Genomic DNA, 21181 nt, shown 5'->3' with positions numbered 1-21181 from the left:
GAGACGGAGTCTCACTCTGTCACCCAGGCTGGGTGCAGTGGTGTGATCTCGGCTCACTGCAACCTCCACCTCCCAGGTTCAAGCGATTCTCCTGCCTCGGCCTCCTGAGTAGCTGGGTTTACAGGCACGTGCCACCACATCGGGCTAATTTTTCTATTTTTAGTAGAGACGGGGTTTCACTATGTTGGTCAGGCTGGTCTCAAACTTCTGACCTCGTGATCTGCCCGCCTCGGCCTCCCAGAGTGCTGGGATTACACGGCATATAATTTCTTATGCCTGAAATGATATATTCACCATATCCAGTGCTGTACTAGCATTTGGTAAGAGGGAGGAAGGAACAAAGAGAGGAAGGGGAAAAAAGAAGGAAAGAAGAGAGGGAGGGAGAGAAGGAAGGAAGAAGGGAGGGAAGGAAGGGAGGGAGGAAGGAAGTCATTAAAATTCACAAAGTCAATGAGTCTAGACTTTCAAGTGGCTTCAGATGCAGAGAAAGCCTCCCAAAGTGTGAGGAGCCTCATACTAACTCTCTCTGATTCTCAGTTTTCTCATCTAGGACCCAGAGGCCATCATAGTATCTAGTTCATAGGATTATTATAGGTTTAATTGAGATAATAGAAACATTTAGTGACTTCCTTGGTACACTGTAAATGTTCAATTAATATTACTCATTATGATTAAAATTCACTTAGACAGTATTTCACTCAGTTTTAAGATCTCTAGACAAATATTGATGAGCCAGCCTTAGCTAGCAGTCCACACTCGTGAGAGTCACATGCATACTTAAAAAATTATTTATCAGCCAGGCGCAGTAGCTCATGCCTGTAATCCCAGCACTTTGGGAGGCCGACACAGGCAGATCACCTAAGGTCAGGAGTTCAAGACCAGCCTCATCAACATGGAGAACCCTCCTCTCTACTAAAAATACAAAAATTAGCTGGGCATAGTGGTGTGCACCTGTAATCCCAGCTACTCGGGAGGCTGAGACAGGAGAATTGCTTGATCCCAGGAAGCGAGCTCGCAGTCCGTGGAGACCATGCCACTGCATTCCAGCCTCGGCGACAGAGTGAGACTCTGCATAAAAAAAAAAAAAAAAATATATATATATATATATATATATATATATATTTATATATATATATATATATATAACCTAAATGCCTCATGTTATAGTTTAAATAATATGGAAGTTACACATATTTAAAAACTAGTAAAGTGTGAAACTAATGTTTCTCCTTTATCATACTCTCAAAGTAGAATCCAGCTAAACTATCCTCATTTTCCCAGTGTTATTTCTCCTATATGATTCTATTTAGAGCCCCCTTCACTCAGCTTAGTCTAAGGCTTTCTTGACCCATGACAACTTGATTGTTTGTACATTAAAACTTAAATCAGGTTATGAGTCAAGCTCTTACTTACCTACTGCCCCTTACATGCTGTCTTCGTTGCCTGGAACTTTCTTCCCTGGTTATTGCATGGCTAGCTCCATCTCAAGTTTGGGGGTCTCAAAATTCACATTTACCAAGAAGCCTTTCTTGACTCTGCCACCTACACTAGATCCTGCCCACATTATGCACTATCTCAGCACTTTCCTTTTCTCCTTCAGAGCCCCTATACAGTTTATAATTTTTTAAAGTATTAATTGTTTAACTCTTTTTGGGTAACCCCTACCACACCCTAAGCTCTATGATGGCAAGTTCCATATCCACTTCTTTTCTTTTCTACCCATAGGATCTAGCTTGGTCCTACGGCTTAGTAGCACTTGATACCTGTAGGTTAAATGGAAAAATGAAGTGGATTCTAGAAAGAGATTATTTTCCCATTTCTCTAAATTATCCTACTTGGACTGGAAGACAAAAGCCACACCTGGAAACCTTTACCACTACAAATTTCCAGGGAGTAACAAATTCCATCTTTGAACTTTCTGTGTTCCCATTTACTCTATATGGCATCTATGAAATTGCCCAATGCCTGGGGAAACATCAATAGTGTTGGAGATGGCAGTATTTGGTATGATCCATCACTAATCATTCTGCAAAAGTCTAACAGTTGATTTTGCGGGTAAGGACATCCAAATAAAATTATTCTAAAAACAGCTAGAGAAACTTTCTCATACAGGGAGAATAAGGAATATTGGTGTAGTAGTCAGGGTTCTCCACAGAAACAAAACCAATAGGATGGACTAGATGTATACACGGAGAGAGAGACAGAAAGAAAGAGACACACCAAGGAATTGGCTTACGTGATTATGGAGGTTGGCAAGTGCAAAATCTGCAGGGCAGGTTAACAGACTGGACAAGCAATGAAGAGTTAATGTCACAGCCAGAGACCAAAAGCTGTCTGCTAGCAGAATTCTTTCTCCTGGGAGATCAGTTTTTTTCTGAAGGCCCTCTGCTGACTGAATGTGGCCCACCACATTATGGATCTGCTTTATTCAAAGTCCACTGATTTAAATGTTAATCTCATCTTTAAAATATCTTCACAGCATCATCCAGACATGTTTGACCAAATATCCAGACCTAGCCTGGTTGACATATAAAATTAACCATTACACTTGGACCCTGTAATGTCATTTACATATTAGTCAATTTATCTTCTCTGGCAAAATGAAAGACATGCAACTGAAAACTTTTTCTAAATGTCATAACAAGATGCAAAGGCATGTACTTTTAAAATGAAACATCATGTTCTGAGTGACTAATAAGCATGCATTCGGACCCGTACATAAATCCCCTTCACTGAGTTTTATTGCCAGTAGTCCAAATCATTCTTTTCTTTTTGTTTAAATTTCTGGCCAGAGGAACCAAAAAAATCTATCAAACTCAATATTTCTGGAAGCTTAGCAACATTTGGAAGCCTATCGGTAGGAAAAATATATGTAAACAGTGAATTTGGAATATTCAAATACATTCAGATTAATGAATAATATATAACTTACATGCACAAATTACCAATCTACTATAACTACAAAAATTCTGTTTACATTCATATGCAAATATTTGGTTGAAAATCTTCCCATTTTAAAATGGTTCTTAACATTTGGAATACTTTCCTAAACCCCTGTCATTTATGAAGATTCACCTTCCTTGCAATAAAATGTGCTTCACAAAGTAACATGTACATACTAAGGGGTTTTAAGCATACACTGATCACTAAACATAAAAGCCTCTGTCTTAACCAGGATTCCAAATTGGTTAAGAGCTTTAGCTCACAATCAGGTATACCTGGGATCTGATATGATATCAGTATTGCCATTTATTAGCTGCATGACCTGAGACAAATTACTTACTCTTTCTGATTCTCAGTTTTCTCATTTAGGACCCAGGGGTCATCACAGCATCTAGCTCACAGGACTATTATAGGTTTAAATGAGATAATATAATAAAAACATTTAGTGACTTCCTTGGTACATTATAAATGTTCAATTAATATTACTCATTATGATTAAAATTCACTTAGACAACCAATGCATTTTTATCTAAGAGTGTCTGTAATAGCTGGGGTGTTTTTTCTAAGAAAAAGTTTTTATTATAATCAGAAAAAAAGATATTTAAAAACAAGCTCTAAACATAGGATGATACATATGTAAGTTGAGTAAAACCACCTGACAGATGTGAAACTAAAAAATCTGGGTGATGTGGGACACATTGTTAAATAAATAAATCATCCAGAATGTCTTCCAAAGAACATTACATCGCATCTGTGGTCCTAAACCCTGCGTGTCTAATAAAATCACCCGGGAAATTTTAAAATATTCCATTAGCCCATGAAGTGGTAAAATATATGTATTTGTCCTACACCCCATTTCCTGACATAAAACTCCTAAAATCCTTGGGACCTCCAAAGGAAAATCTTTTGTATGCTAATTAGCGGATGAATGGCTGGCAGCTACTGGGTAGCTTCAGGATGGGGGCTGGTCACCATAAAGACCAAGATATAATTAGAGGGTTGGGACTTTCAGCCCCCTCCCCCAACCTCCTGGAAGGAAAGAGGGACTGAGGGTGAGGTTGATCACCAATGGCCAATACTTTGATCAATCATGCCTACCTAATGAAGCTCCCAGAAAAATGCAGAAGGACAGCGTTCAGATGCACTTCCAGACAGCTTAACACAAAAGGTTCCTGGAGGGTAGTGTGCCCAGAAAGGGCATGAAAGGCCCAGTGTGGGGCCTTTCCCCAATACCTCACCCTCTGAATCTCTTCATCTGTATCCTTTGTAACATCCTTTATAATAAACCAGTAAACGTGTTTCCCTGAGCTCTGTGAGAAGCTCTAGCAAATTAACTGAACCCAAGGAGGAGGTTGCGGGAACACCAATTTATAGCTGGTCTGTTTTAGAAATGCCATTAAAACAGGCAACCAGAGGCTTGCCTGTGGCATTGGGAGTAGGGGACAGTCTTGTGGGACTGAGCCCTCAACCTCTGTGATCTGAGACTATCTCTAAGTAGAGAGTGTCAGTACTGAACTGAATTAGAGGACGCTGAGTTAGTGTCTGCTGGAAAACTGATTGCTTGCTTGATGTGTGGGTGATTCCCCCACAAATTTGGTCACAAAAATCTTCTCTATTGATTGTTTTTGAGTGAGAGAATAGAAAACACACTTTGAGTTTGTTTCTCCCACACAGAACCCACCCCCAACCCCAGATCGATCGATTAACCGGATTATTCTAAGGAGGAGCCAGGGCTGAAATCTGCAACATTAGATGTTTAGTAAAGAGTCTTTGTGTTGGGTAGGGAGTTGGCAGGGGGGATAGAGAAGCAAGATTGTTCCATAGTCAGAAACATGCATTTCACAATGCACATAAAGATTCTGAAAAATTCTCGTGTTAGAAAACCTGTTTAAAATCCTGAATTTCCTCTGTTTTTGTTAAGAACACTTTTAAAGGGAATCCTATTTATATCTACCTAGAAGAATTAGTGTTCCACAGAACATGCTTTAGCGCTCAAACCTGGCTGAACATCAGAATCACATGGGGAGCCTATTCAACTACAGTTTCCTAAAACTCATTCCCAGAGACTCTGATTCGGTATTACCTAGCGTGGGGCTGTGAAATTTTATTTTCTTCCAAAGCTCCCAGGTGTTTCTGAGGATGACATTTTGTAGCAATTACCCCACAGAGTTTATATTTAGTCCCATAAACACGTCTCCCCTCCTCCACTTCCAAGCTGAGGACAGGAATGATGGATTGGAGCTGGTATGTGGAGTGACATTCATAACATGTCTAAGCTTTGAGATGTATGCCTGGTCTATGATTATTTTCTGTTATGCCTCACGTTAATTATGGAGGATAACAGTAAACTGGGTATGAAAGTGCATTTACTAGATATGAGGCCTCCTGCAATGCTTTGTTTCTAACATTAGCTGAATAAGACTTTAGTGGTGATGGCTATGTATGAAAGAGGATTTGAAGATCATCAGGATTGGGGTCCAACCCAATGATGAGTGCCAGGCCCAAGTTAGAGGCTTTACATGCAGGTTACTATAAAGCACCTTCGAGAAAGATTTAAGTCTCACTGCATAAATACCAAGACTCATGGTTCCCAAAGTTAATAAGACCAAGTTTACAGGCTAGGCACAAAAAGCTAAATGCCCACCCTAACTGTGATAACAATTTCTAGAAACACATTTGCAAAAGAGTCTTTAAGTATTAGCTAGAACAAGAAAGGACTTTTTAGGTGTTGATCTTATGAAACAATCTGAAGGCACTGGACAATATGAATTATTCAGAGAAGGCACAAGCTTTTAAAAGAAATAACATGGCAGCTGCGGTTGTATGAAATGTTAGAATTCCCTTTGAATAAAGCTATACACCACAACTTGAAAACCAATAGAGAGATTTATACCCCAAGTTTACAAGGTACCTTTCTGCATTCTGCAGAATACTGAGATAAGAGTACTTACCATAAACTGTGGAAAATGCCATGGGCTGTTTAAGAGGATGAATTTTCCAAATTCCTGGACAGGCCTCAAGAGGCACCCTGAAAAGCTAACTTGTGTGTCTCGTGCTGTGGATGTCCCTAACAGAAAGCTAAGAGGATAAACAGGGTTACCTGGAAGAACCTCCATTTCTCTTTATAGTTCCTTGGTTCCAAGAAAGAATAACCAACTTTGGGAAAAGGAGACTATCAAAAGGATATGGAGAGCGCATGGAATAGAAGGAAGAACTAGAGGACAAAGCAGCTCCAAAACCCCCAGTAGAGATACCATTAATATTGGACCACACACCATGTTCAGTGGGGCCAGGACACTGACACAGTAAAAAGCATACATCTACTAACCATTTCTTCATCCTTATGTTACTAAGCCCAAGATTCTACGTATGAGGAGAGGGTCTGATCATTGCAACTTAGGTCACATGCCTGCATGATGTACTGGAGCAAGGAGAAGAGCCTGGCTGAAGGCTCATCAGAGAGGCCTCATGGTCCACTGCCTATTAGGAGGGTGGGCTGAGGTTTCATCATCACACAAGACTGCAAACAGTGGAAGAGATTTTGCTGTTAGAAAAGGAAACTTGTTCCTGTGATTAACAATAAATGTCCATGACAATATCAATGGCTACTACTTGAAATGTTGTCAAACAGCATTAAATTTCCTTTAATAATGTCTGAGGACAGCAAATGTTATTAGCAAAGGAATGCACCTCACTCACAAGAGAGAAACACGGAATGATGCCAGAAAATATATTGGTCAGCAGATCAGCACTGTATACCTTGTCATATAAATCTTGCAGTGGCTTTCTACAGCATAAAGAATATCTCCCAATTCCCTCATATTCCCCAATTTGTCCCATTCGCTAGAGATGCTACTTTGCACAAAGCCATGATGCAACAATCACAGTCACTGCTTGTTGGTGGTCCAACTCTGGGGATAACATTCACATTCTAGTCTATGAAACTGTGTAAATGAAGGCCCTATTGCCACCTTCCCATACCCCTAGCGTCCACTCATACCTTTGGCATTCTCCAAACTTGCCATTTTTCCTCATAAGCCCATGGCCATTGTACATACTATACCCTCTTTCTTAATTTTATTTATTTATTTTTTGAGACAAGGTCTTGCTCTGTCATCCAGACTGGAGTGCAGTGACAGGATCACAGCACACTGTAGCCTCAACTTCCCTAGCTCAAGTGATCCTACCAACTCAGCCTCCCGAGTAGCTAGGACTGCAGGTGGGCACCAACACGCCAGCTAGTTTTTGTATTTTTTTGTTTTTTTTTGAGATGGGGTTTTGCCATGTTGACCAGGCTGGTCTCAAACTCCTGAGCTCAAGTGATCTGCCCACTTCGGCCTCACAAAGTCCTGGGATTACAGGTGTGAGCCACCACCTGGCCACCCTCTTTCTTAAGTGCTCTTTCCAAACCCAATCTGAAAATTCTGCTCATCTTTCTACTTTATCTTATCAATTCTTTCCCATCATCTCGATGAAACTACCACCATTATATTCCACATCACACTGTAATTTGAGTTTTCTTTTTACACCAAGCAAAAAGCTCTTTGAAAGCACAAGTAACATGCCTTTTCATATGTATATGCAAGAACTCTAACTTTAAAACTGGCTATGCAGGACCTCAGCAAAGACTGACCAATCACATTGATGAGTGGGATGGTAGATGTGATACTTGGGGTTCTCGATCTTCAGCATAAGGAAGAATGGTTTGAGTTATTTCACCACCAAGGGCTTAAAGCAAAAAGTGATGACAACATGTTTTCACAAACAATAAAGCCTCCCTCCAGTGATTTTCAAAGCATTGTCTATTCCATTCATATTGACTATATTCTACCCATATTTTTGAAAATTTGTGTATCTGCGCCTTAAACTATATAGACTCTGATCATCATTTGGCCAAACTCAACTGTACCTATCCTTCATCCTATAGTATTGGGTCCTTACTATACAATTAAGCAGGTTGTGTATATGCTTGACATTTAGGCTTCGTAGCAGGGAACCAGTTGTTTCAGTTAGTTAAGAATACAATGCAAATCAATGTCTATCAATCTTTAATAAAAATCAACTGATAAAATGAAAATTCTGATACAGTGCATCTGCGTGAGGAAAAAATTTCTGCATTTCTCACAAGCTCCTTGGAGATGCCAATCAATGGGCTACAATTACAACACGGCCATGGGCAAATTTCTATATAAATGATACTCTATTCTGAACTATAGATCATGTACTTAGACTGTATATCTAGACCCAACTAGAATGCATGCTTTTAATCAATGAAATGCAGCATACATAACATCAAAGATCAATATCAAACTCAAATAGTCCCTATTGATGGACAATTTATTATGTTATATTCAGATATAAGGGAAACAGCCCTTCCACCCGCTTCAGTTGCTCAACCCTGATAATTCAGGCAATTGAGAGCAGTGAAATCCATCAGTGTAATTATATTTCTATAGCTCTTTTTAATATCTAAAAGCCCAAGAAAGCAGAATTGGCTGAATTTCTACCATCCTTTCCATTGAAAGTATATATTTTAGGCCTTCCATGAATACTTGGTCTGGTGCTCAGAAGAATTACTTAGAAACTATAGTAGAGGGTGCATCTTGGAAATTACCTAACAGGGGAGAATACTAGGGCATGAATGACTAGAAGCCTGTAGTCAGGCCAATTTCCATAACAAGGCCATAATCAGATCTATAGGATATACATAAATGGATGGGGGTCTCTCTCCAGGAATTAAGATACTGATGTGAGTTAGCTTAGTAACTTACCAGAAGAAAAAAATGTAAAACACAATGGAAAACAGTAAATTCTCATTGTATGTGTTAGAAATACAGAAAGAAACATATAAAAGTAATTAAAACATCTAAGTAATGAGGTTTAATGATAAGCTCTAAACAAAACAGTTTTTGATATAAACATTCTTTGAATCCCATACAATAGGTAGTAAACCAACATACAAAGATGAAATAGAGAAACATTCAAAACAAACTTACTACCAATGTTTCATTCTTGAAAGGCTGTAAAAACACATAGGAAGTAAAATAACATTAACCAGTTTCTCTTCAGATATGTTAAACTCCTTTTACATGCATGTTAATAATACACCAGTCATTATTGTTATGCTTGCTAAGTTTTAAAATTCAAAGCACCTATAAAGTGACTGCTATTCTCTGGAGTAAACAGAAATTCATTTCCCAGTACTGTCAGTATTACAAATAAAAAATGTGTAAATCTTTTATAAAATTTCAATCACATTTGACTGAAAGCAACTGGAAACATTTTTATATTTCTCCTCTGTCACTGTCAGCATTTCTTTTACAGGATGGCAAGATGGGCTATAGCTGAAGTAGAAAGAATACAGATGAGAGCCTATTCAGTAATTCATTCTTTCTAATAAATAAGATTCTTGACCATAGCCAAAACCATTTCTCCAAAATAAAATCTCAAATAGTGCTAATCTCATCTCAGTTCTGATACAGTGGCTCGCAGTAATAGTCAACCATAAAACAACACACTATGGAAATGTTGCCTTCCTCTGTCTCCACACAGAGAGGATTGCATTGTCTATCCCATAGATAAAAGCATATGAGCAAACATAAATCACTTTACAGAGTATTTTAAAATAATGAAATTTCAAGTTTGTAAATCATAACATCCACATATTTCATCTACAACACAAGCATCATATTGAATAAATGCATTGAAAGGGTAAAATCATGATAAACAGCATTTTTAGGGATGGTCTAATTATATTCCTGGCACAAGGCTATGTGTATATACAATTAAGTAACTTTAGTCTTCACAACCCTACAGGAATTCCTCCATTATATACAAGAGAAAAATGAAGCTAAAAAAGGTTAAATGACTTGGTCTGATGTTACATACTAACTTTAATATATATTTGTATATATACTAAATACATAAGTAGTAGAGACAGGATATGAATCACTGAGTCATTCTAAATCACCAAGTCTGCCTCCAGCCTTTCCTATACATCACATAAAATAGTGTTTTCCAGCTGTGGAGACTAAATACCAACCTAAAACATGGGATTCATTATTTTGGGGAGTACATTATATTATGTTTCTTTTCTTAAGAGTTTACCTTAATATGTTGATTTAAGTAGCCACATTATAAGAAACCTACAAAAATTTGTAACAATTCATTAATTCAGAAGAACAGGAAAAGGTTCTTCTCTGAAAATACTAATGTTTAAAAGAAAAGTATTAATTTCACTTACACCACATACTATAAACAACAATATGCTGGTGAATTTCAATTATTATAAGAATTGAGTAGAATTAACAGAACTATGAATTCTCAATGAACTCACAGTGCGTATATAAGCATTACAGCCACCTTAATAGTATCCATAATTGTTTTGGTATCGGGAATTCTGACCACTGGATTTAAAAAAGAAAATAAAGGGTAAATACTAAGGCTTTTGAGTTAGACTCTAGTAACTAGTAAGACCTTGAAATGTGCTGGAAAAAAATAGAAAAGAAAACCTCTTTATACCATAAAGATCATGCTGTATTCTAAGCACAGGATTTTGAATGAAGTTTATTGTACTACAGGTAAGATAGCCAACATTCCACACTGTAACACAGGAATTTTCACTAACATGATGCTACTGCCAAGCATATCACAAATACATGTCACAATATTATCAAAGCAGGTTATTTTCTATTTCCACTATGGTATAGTGATATCTTACTCTCAGTACCTCAGCCAGGAAGTAGAGAGGTAAAGCTGAGAACAGTGAAAATGGATGTGAAACACCCATACCATTACTCTCTCACAACAACAACCAAAAAAAAGGCGGGGAGGGGAGAAACAGGCCCCTTCACAGTCTCACTCCGAATCTGTTTACTCTTACTAAGAATGTTTGAACAGCTTGTGTATTTTATTTTTCCAGTTCACAAATGGTGGAAAACAGCAAGTGGAAAAGGCTAGTTCACCAAAGCGAAAGATTATAATATGACAATCTGAAAGGCAGCAGAAAGCAGATGGAGGTCACCAGTGTCGGTCTCAACACTTCAGCTGCACTGGATGGGATCCTGTTGCATCCCCCAGTGTCACAGGAATGTGGCAAAGAATGTTGAAACAATGAACAACAAATATATAAAACATTTAAGTATACTACGTTCTGTATAAGTTGTAAAGATTGTAGTATACGGTTCATTTACCTAATGCTTACAATGTGCCATGCACACTGTCCTAAAGTCTTCAATGCATACCATTAATGTTCACAGCCTATCTGTAAGACAGGCAGGATCAACTTCACTTTACAGATTTTAAAAACTGCCTTGGGAAAAGTAAGAATGTGTTTGAGATCACACAGCTAGTAAGAGACAAAACAAGGATTCAAACCAGGTCTGTCTGATTCCAAGGCCCATACTCTATTCTAAACCACCAAACTATGTTTATCATGGTGATCCCGTGTCATCAAGAAGTAAATTATCTTTAGTCACCTGCTTAAGCAGAAAATGAAGACATTTTACAGGGATATCCATTTTTAAAAGATACTATTATATTAAAAGCAACTCTTAATTTACCATTACTTAGATCCAAGAATTCTAGATGACCTTGTTTGTACTATAATTTTTTACTAAGAATTAGATATGCAACTTAAGTAATCACTTTCTCTATAAAGCTGTCATTCACCCAATTAAATACACTAAAAATAATGCTTGGACTCCCAATTAATTCACTAATCTGTAAGGAGTCTAGAATCAATATCTAGCTAATAGCTAATCAAATGAGTGACTAAAGACAAAAAAATTCGTATTTATAATTAATAGTTGAAGACCCATCATAATATGGATAACAATACAAATTTGCACAACTTAAAATGATGACAATGTGCCTAGAATCAAATCTTACAAAACATACTTGGTGATTTGAGTCATATCATTGTTTTGTTTGATTGTCTTCTTGTCCAGACTGGACCCATCTCAGCATAAGCACACATGCAACACCTGTCCTCACTGGAAATTTCCATGACAAAACTGAAAGGCATAGGCAACATGGACACTCAAGATTTATATTAATACAAGTGTGCAAGTTACAAAGTATTTTTATATACAAAAGTTCAGCCCAAAGGTAGAGAGGATATGTCACTGTGGTTAACAACAACAACAACAAATCATATGATTTTTTTAACTCAAGATCATTATGGAATAATGATTAATAATGGAGTAGTGATTCTACTGCCCTAACCTTCACTTTCTTATGAACCAAAAGAAAGACAAAATATTTGCATTTTGGTCCCCCAAATGCGCCACTTTTATTTCATTAATAAAAATAATGAAAATATGTACTTAGGGGTTATGCACCAATACTGACCTTGCCTAAACATGGAAAATATTTTCTCTTTCCGAACTATGAAAATTTGTGAAGTCTGGTTTAAATATGCAAGAAAAAACAAACTGTTTCTAAAAAGGAACTAATCCTGCAGTCAATTCCAGCTTTTTCAAGTTTCAAAGACCAAGTAATTATCGAAAATATTTCCTAATCACTCTCACTGACTTGCTTGCCCCACTTATCACAAACTCTGAGTAACATTGTTTATGCTCCATGAACATGTATTCTCTGAGTGTAATTGTATTTTTGGCATCTACTATGTTTTAGGCAAGAGATACTTAAAAGTGAATAACAACAATCCATAACAAAAGCTGTGTACTGGATGCTTACTAGGATTTGGGCACTGTCCTGCTTGTACTTTGCATGTAGTACTCTACATAATCTTCACAAAACTCGTGTGCTTTAGACAATGTTATAGATGTGTCCATCACTAAACGAAGTGATTTAATTTATGATGTCTTTTAATTAGCTAACAACCCTACAAAACACATACTATTCCACTACACAGATGATGAAACTGTAACCTAGAAAAGTTAGGTCACTTGCTCACAATCACACAACTAGTACAAAATGGATCTAGGATTGGTAAGAATTTTGCCTCCAAATTTCAAGCTGTTATCCACTGTCTCAATGAAATTCCATTGCACCGAGTGGCATGTTAAATGAGAGCTATTACAATGTAGAAGGCAAGGCAACAAATTTCTCCTGGCTTGATCAAGACTTTCCTGGTTTTAAAAATGAATATCCAGCATCCTGGGAACCCCCCTGTCCTGGGAAAAGCAAGAGAGATGGTCATTCTCATGACAGATATTATATCAGTGGCATGGAAACAAGTACAATGAGAGTATGTACAGGTGACGGAGCCATTCTTTATGCCTCAATAGTATTGAAAGAGGCTTAACTTAGTGATACTTGAGTTGAGCATTGTGCAAACTGTAATAAACACAGTAGACAAGGACAGTAAGAGGAGGCCAAAGAGAGAGGCAATGTAAACAGTCATGAAAAAAAAAAAAAAAAAAGAAAAGGCACATGAAAAGTTCCAGGATGGGTGATTAGATTGTTACAGTTGGTCTGCAAGCCTGGGGGAGGATAGGAACAGGGAAGTGATGCTGGAAAAGAAAGCATCATCCAGGAGGGACCACAGGCAATCTTGAAAGAGGGAATTAAGCCTGAGGATGTGATTTCACCTCCATTTCCCTTCCATAACTCTGTAAGGAGAGATCAGCTTTGAGAAGAATTAACAGCTTCGGGTTTATAATTTAGTGAGAGCTCTATGTGCCTGGGTAGGGGTATGCCAAATGGTTCTTGACTGGAAGTCTGATGTATTACAAGGGAGTGAAACTGTTAGGCACACAACCAAAGTGACATAAGATGAGCTCAGGAAAACAAACAAACAAATAAAACCCCCACTCCCTTCCTTATCCAGTATTCTTTCCTCTTTTTTGCTTGGTCTAATAAATCAGTATTCACTTTAAGTCATACAAATCCAACCCAAATCAGCTTACGTCAAAGGGTAATTTATGAATCTGAAGAGCTGCAAAATCACCAGCTGATATGGTTTGGTTCTGTGTCCCCACCCAAATCTTATCTCAAATTGTAATCCCCATAATTCCCAAGTGTTAAGGGTGGTGATTGGGAGGTGACTGGATCATGGGAGCAGTTCCCTCATGCTGTTTTCGTGATAGTGAATGATTCTCACGAGATCTGATCGTTTTATAAGGGGATTTTCCTCCTTTGCTCATTCACTCTCTCTTGCTTGCTGCCATGTAAGATATACCTTTGCTTCTCTCTCCCCTTCCACCATGATTTTAAGTTTCCTGTTGCCTCCCAAGCCATACAGAACTGTGAGTCCATTAAACCTCTCTCCTTTATAAATCACCCAGTCTTGGGTAGTTCTTTATAACAATGTGAGAACAGACTAATGCAGTAAATTGGTACTGCAGAGAGTGGGGTACTGCTATAAAGATACCCGAAAATGTGGAAGCAACTTTGTAATTGGGTAACAGATAGAGCTGGAACAGTTTGGAGGGCTCAGAAGAAAACAGGAAGATGTCAGAAAGTTTGGAACTTACTAGAGACTTGGAGGACTCAGAAGAAAGATGTGGGAAACTCTGGAACTTCCTAGAGACTTGTTGAATGGTTTTGGCCAAAATGCTAATAATGATTTGGACAATGAAGTCCAGGTCAGATGGAGATGAGGAACTTATCGAGAACTGAAGCAAAGGTCACTCTTGCTATGCTTTAGCAAAGAGACTAGCAGAATTTTGCCCCTGCCCTAGAGATCTGTGGAACTTTAAACTTGAGTGTGATGATCTGAAATTAGAAATTATGTTTAAAAGGGAAGCAGAGCAAAAAGGTTTGAAAAATTTGCAGCCTGATGATGCTGTAGAAAAGAAAAACCCATTTTCTGGGGAGAAATTCAAGCCAGCTGCAGAAATTTGCAGAAGTAAGGAGGAGCCAGGACAATGGGGAAAACGTCTTCAGGGCATGACAGAGATCTTGGCGGCAGCCCCTCCCATCACAGGCCCAGAGGTCTAGGAGGGAAAAACGGTTTCTTGGACAAGGCACTGGGCTCCCTGCTGTGTACAGCCTAGGGACTTGGTGCCCTGCGTCCCAGCCACTCCAGCTGTAGCTAAAAGGGGCCAAGGTATAGCTCAAGCTGTTGCTTCGGAAGGTGTAAGCCCCAAGCCTTGGCAGCTTCCACATGGTGTTCGTCCTGTGGGTGTGCAGAAGACAAAAATGAAGGTTTGGGAACCTCTGCCTAGATTTCAGTAGATGTACGGAAATGCCTGGATGTCCAGGCAAGAGGTGTGATGAAGGGGCAGAGCCCTCATGAAGAACCTCTGTTAGGGCAGTGCGGAAGGGAAATGGGGGTTGGAGCTCCCAACACAGAGTCACCACTGGGACACTGCCTAATGGAGCTGTGAGAAGAGGGCTATGGTCCTCTAGACTTCAGAATGGTAGATCCACTGACAGCTTGCACTGTGTGCCATGAAAGCAGACACTCAACTCCAGCCATGAAAGCAGTTGGGAGGGGAGCTGTAGCCTGCAAAGCCAGAGGGGCAGAACTGCCCCAGACAGTGGGAGCCCACCTCCTGCATCAGCATGACCTGAACTTGAGACATAGAGTTAAAGAAGATGATTTCGGAGCTTTAAGATTTAATAACTGCCCCGCCTGGTTTCAGACTGGCATGGGGCCTGTAGCCCCTTTGTTTTGGCCAATTTCTCCCATTTGGAATAGGAACATTGACCCAGTGCCTGTACTCCCACTGCAACTTGGAATTAACTAACTTGCTTTTTATTTTACAGGCTCATAGGTAGAAGGGACTTGCCTTGTCTCAGATGAGACTTTGGACTGTGGACTTTTGAGCTAATGCCAAAATGGGTTAAGATTCTGGGCGACTGTTGGGAAGGCATGTTGAAATGTGAAAAGACATGATATTTGGGAGGGGCCAGGGGCAGAATGATATGGTTTGGCTCTGTGTCTCCACGCAAATCTCATCAATTGAAAGGTAATCCCCATAATTTGCATGTGTCAAGGGTGGGACCTGGTAGGAGGTGATTGCATTGTGGAAGCAGTTTCCCCCATGCTGGTCTCATGATTGTGAGTTCTCATGAGATCTGATGGTTTTATAAGGGGCTCTTCCTCCTTCACTGTCTCTTGCCTGCCGCCATGTAAGACCTGCCTTTGCTTCTCTCGTGCCTTCTGCCATGGTTGTAAATTTCCTGAGGCCATGCGGAACTGAGTGAATTGAACCTCTTTCCTTTACAAATTACCCAGTCTCAGGCAGTTCTTTCTAGCAGTGTGAGAATAGACTAATATACCAGGTTAACTCACTTTAGGCATAGCCAGATTAACGGGCTCACATGATGCAAGAGGAGCTGGTTTTGCTCCATCATGCCCCTTGCTACTGTTCTGTTGGCTTCATTCTCAAGTAGTATGTGGTGACCTCAGCAGGTCTAGGTTCTCTTTTTGGTGTTAAGACAGCTGCAGCAGTGGCAGGCCCACATGCTCCCTGGTTCTAATCTCCTTATCTACAGGAATTAGTTCAAAGGCATACATGGAGCCCAACTAGAGCCACTGAGAAAAAGCAAAGCATCTCACTGCAGTGGTTCTCACTGGGTCCATGCCTGTTCTGTTCTAGAAGCAATTACTGTGGACAGGAAAAGTCAATGCTCTTCCCGACAAGACCTGGTTCCCATGCTCCAATCCTTAAATGGGAAACGGAATCCCACCCAGACCATATGCACTAAGAATGGGATAGTAATAGAGGTCAAAATTAAAAGGAAGCAAGGCAATGGGCATTTATTTGGCAAATAACCAAAATCCATGCTCTCTTTTCCCCATACCTAGAGAATTAGCTGATTTTCTCACATGCTTTCATTGGAAACCTGTGACAAAGACTGGCTAGTTATTTACCAAACCTGTTTTCCTTTCACCCTTCTCCCCCAGGCACTCAGCTAGACACCACTTCTCAGCTTCCCTTGCAGCAAAGGATGTCGAAGTGACTGAGGTCCACCCCAGAGGAATGTGGGCAGAAGTCATGACAACCACTTCCAGGCTGTGCCTACAACAACCTCCAATAAGACTTCTCTGGATTATTTATCTCCTCACACTCTGTATCTTGACTGAATGATGAGGACTCTAGGTACTTAAAGATGAACAAAGCCATAAAACTCTAAGGAACCTGATTCCCTGAATGACCCCATGGACAGCCACTCAGTCAGGATCTATTCTATGAGTACTGAACTACCACACATGAGCAAGAAGTAAAAAGTTAAAATAAGTCACTGAAAATTAAGAGCTTATCTGCTCATGTTAGCCTGTTACAAGGCCCTGTGGAATTTGGCTGAAAACATGACAGTAAGCACATGAAAACCTCTCCAGCCCTCCAACCCCATTAAATCATAAGAAGGGACTTGAAACGCACACACACACACACACACACACACACGTAGACATAAATGGCACAGAAGTGGAAAAAATTGGAAGAAAGAGGAGTTCAGAAAAAAAAGCAAAATTCTCAGGATGTGAGGCTCAGGGAAAGTAAAGAGGAAATGAACAGGGGCTTCTGGGAAAGAAATGACTGGTAGGTATACAGTATTTATGCCTACCTACATGGTAAGAAGATACATATCATTACCTAATTGTGAAGATGCAACAAATACATACTGAACAAGAGGAAAAAAATCACTCTTTAATGTTGAAACAATAACTATCTTAGCAAAAAGTATACGCTTACTATTGACCACTACACATTTCCACTGCAGCCACTGGGAACCAAAACTCTAACAGGCATTTTTATGAAAGACAAATACATAGGAAACATAAGATGAGGCAGATTCTCTAATGGAAATGGGACAACAGGATGAGAACAAGAGGGACCATTTTCTTTTAGACGGTACCTGGGATATATATACAGTCCCCTTAGTCATATAGAAAATAAAGATAAATAAATAGATAAATAAAAAATAATTTTGCAAAGCTCATAGGAAAAGAAGAGGGTTTCCTTTCTTGGAGGATGGGGATATTGATAAAGAGCAATACCTTTGATCAAAAGTTAGGAGAGGCTATTTTAGCTGAAAAACCTGCCAGGGAAGATATTTGTTTCTGCTGAGAAGTGAAGAGGAATTTATCCTCACATACTGAAGCATGAAAGTGGTAGCGCAAGACTCCCACAATAGAATCTTCAGAGGAAGGTTATAATTCAAGGCACAGACCCTGAAAATGTGTTTATCACAAATGAAAGAGCAGTTGTAGTGGTGAAGGGTGTGTAAGTGGGGGGAGTTACTTTAAATATCTGCTCCTGATCCTGGTAGGTATTCAAGATAAAGCTGTATCATATCTAATTCCATTCCAGTATGTTTTGGATTATATCCTTTTTTTCTACTTTAGTATTTTAAAAAATTCTCTTGGCAACTTTTTTATATATAGGCAAAAGTAAAAAGCGGTCCAGTGGCTTAAATAAGAAAAGTATTGAGGCAAAAGCAAAAAAAAAAAAAGCTGTTAAAAAATCAATTCTGGAGTGAGAGAACCTGGTTCAGATCCCAGCTCTGCTACTTACTAGCTATGATGAACAAATAACTTAATTTCTCTATGCCTAGTTTTCCTCATCTGTACAATAGAGATAATATTAGAAGGGCAAAGTAGGGCAATGTGCTTTAAAAAGTATCTCAATAATAGTAAGCATTATGTATGTATTAACTGCTTCTATTATTATTTATTGTATCCATTCCAGTTTTTCTACCAGAAAAAAAAAAAAGCAAGGGTTAGGAGAAGAAAAGGAAGTAACAGTTATTGAACATGGAAGAAATATCACATATAGTAATAAAACATCAGAGAATGCTAGTTGTTCCCCCAACAATTTCTTCTACTTCCTGGATAACATTTCTAGACTATATTTCCCAGCCTCCTTAATAGTAACGTACATCCACAAAGAACTGGGTTCTGGCCAGCACAATGCAAGGAAAAGTAATATGCACTCATTCCAGTTCTGGGCAATTAACATCCTCCCAAGTCTTCCTCTTTCCAATGGCTTGATGCAAGTAAGCACAGTGACCCTGCTGAAGACGGCAAGGGCACAGAACAGATGAAGGCTGGGTCTCTGAATCACACTTTGAAGGAGTACTGCCATGATCACCCATTCTGGGACTTCACACAACCGAGAAATAAATATATTTCACATCTGAGGCAGTATCCCTTTTGGATCTGTTATATCTGCTAAAGAGCCAATCTAAAAGAGCCAAGCTCTTGACCCATGTTGACTCATGCTCTCATGTTTAATCCCTATCGTGATGCCGTGAAATAGATGTTATCCCAATTTTATACCTAAAGAAACTAAGGCTCACAGAAATTAAGGAACTACATTGCCCAGGACTGTAAATGTAATAAATGATGGTGCCAGACTTAGATTCAGGTTAATCTGCTTCAAGGTTTATGAACTTTCCAGCCTCCACACAACACTGCAATGTGGAAAGTGTCCTTCCAATCCTCCCTCATTTACTCCTTGGATTCTTCACTTCCTGACCATTGGTACTTAGTCTTTAAACTAAAACTCCATTTTTTAAAATTCACCTGTATGTCTACTTTGGGAGATCTAAGATGACATCTCCAAAACACATTCATCCTTTACACCTCATTCTATCCACATATGAGTCCATGAGAGGAAAACAAGTGTGCTTAATCTATTTGTTACAGAAGATATAGAAGTGTAGCAGTTTTACAACTGGCTAGAGTATCAGAGATGATGAACAGCAGAGCAGAGATAAGGAGAGAAAGATTTTAAAAATATCAAACCAGCAGTGATCTTTAAAGTGTGCTACACACCCCAGGGGCTGTACAAAATGATCCACCGGGATACATAACAGCAACATGAGACCTTCTATTTCATAATTTTTGCTTTATTCATCTTTTTTGTTTCTTTGTGTGTTTTATAAGTAGTGTATCATATAACAGCATGTCTTCAGTTTATAAATAAATTTTATTGATATGTTGTCAGATTTCTTCTGATAGTAAATAATAATAATAATGAAGATCAATAAATCTAGGCAGTAAATCCTGCCTCCTTGCCTCCTTCACTAGGCTTAAAACATAGCATTACAGGGAAAAATGAACAAAAAGGAACAAAAAAAATCAGTGTGTAGAGACTTCCCCCTGCCTATCATATGAAATAGACTTATTCAACTAAAATAATATAAAAGCAAGTTTTTACAAAATATTAATTTTTAAGATAAGAGAGATTGAAGCTAATGCATATTATGTCTGTCCTCAAATATAACAAAGAAGAAACAACAAGTTAAAATCATGATCAGACAAACTTGTAGAAAAGTCAGTACCATGCATGGGAATTTTCTGCTGAGCAGCTTTATTTTTTTAAGACCTAAATTGAAGGAACGGATGCCCTGTATACATTTCAGAAGAAAAACTGCAGCCAAAAGATTTAGTGCTTAGATCGGAAAAGAAATCAGAAGACCTACTTTTGAACAAAAAGGAGAGAGAAGTAGGTAAAATAAGTGAATGATAAAAAATCCAACATCATTTGAAAGGTTTGTTCTCTAATCACTCTTAATTACCTGCCAATATGAAATGACCATGGAAAAAGGTACTGCATTGACTCCCAATTGACTTGAAAAGTTTTACAACTCAAAGAAACTGAAAAGTGTTGTTTAAAAAACTGCAAATAGGAAAATCTACCTCTGTTGAAACTTACATGTGGCTCTGACATGCACCCTTATCCAAGTCACTTCTCTTAGACTCTTAGTCTTTAATTGAAAAGGTCAGTTTTTCCATCCTTGCCAGCTACCTCCCAGGGTTCAGATGGAAAAATAATGACGTTTATCAGCATCATCTCTCCTCAACAAGACAGAGCAGTTGAAACCAGCTTCAACAAACAAATCAATAGCTATTTTATAAGGTAGCAAAAATAATATTCTCATGAAACTTGTTTTTGATCCTTAGCAATCTTACCTACTCCTGCGACCCACTGCAGATATTCCCACAAAATCTTTAAAGAAATCAAGATAAAAATAGCAAGAATAAACTTACGGGTAACGTGAATTTTCTCATGAATGCCACCCAAATCACCTCCAGGTGCCTGTCTTCATGACACACTGTTCTTTTTCACCCACTTGGGTAGAGAGAGAGAAAGAGAGAACAAACTTGCTATTAGGCAGACTTGGGAACGCTATTGTATGGACCTGCTCATAGGCAACCTATACAGTCTTTACGCTCCTACCCCACTCTCTAAAGGACATAAACCAGAAATCTCAAAAAACAAAAAAATACAAGCGCGTTCCAAATTATCTTGTGTGGGTATCCAAACGACTCAGTTATGTGGAGTTACTCCTTGAACTATCCAGCTCCCACTAC

General features: G+C 38.8%; 1 protein-coding gene and 1 long non-coding RNA gene across 29 annotated transcripts in view; one reads left to right on the top strand and one right to left on the bottom strand.

The window, feature by feature from the left end:
- Nucleotides 1–11088, top strand: part of CNTN4-AS2 (CNTN4 antisense RNA 2) — a 33833-nt gene extending 22745 nt beyond the window's left edge. Inside the window, exon 3 of the long non-coding RNA NR_046555.1 lies at nucleotides 10865–11088. This is a non-coding gene — a long non-coding RNA (CNTN4 antisense RNA 2). The remainder of the gene's footprint in view (nucleotides 1–10864) is intronic.
- Nucleotides 1–21181, bottom strand: part of CNTN4 (contactin 4) — a 959094-nt gene that overhangs the window by 936463 nt on the left and 1450 nt on the right. For 17 of the 28 annotated variants that reach the window (XM_047447535.1, XM_047447518.1, XM_047447523.1 and 14 more), the window contains exon 1: nucleotides 1–21181. This exon is cut by the window's left edge. The exons of 7 other annotated variants lie outside the window; for them this stretch is intronic. The gene's annotated coding sequence lies outside the window, so the exon portion shown is untranslated. 4 more of the 28 variants (XM_017005783.2, NM_175607.3, XM_017005785.2 and 1 more) reach the window with 2 other exon arrangements.

The sequence above is a fragment of the Homo sapiens genome, chromosome 3, assembly GCF_000001405.40.
Source record: "Homo sapiens chromosome 3, GRCh38.p14 Primary Assembly".
Lineage (NCBI taxonomy): Eukaryota > Metazoa > Chordata > Mammalia > Primates > Hominidae > Homo > Homo sapiens.
The sequence above is the reverse complement of the archived record's forward strand: the minus strand, read 5'-3'. Positions and strand labels throughout refer to the sequence as shown.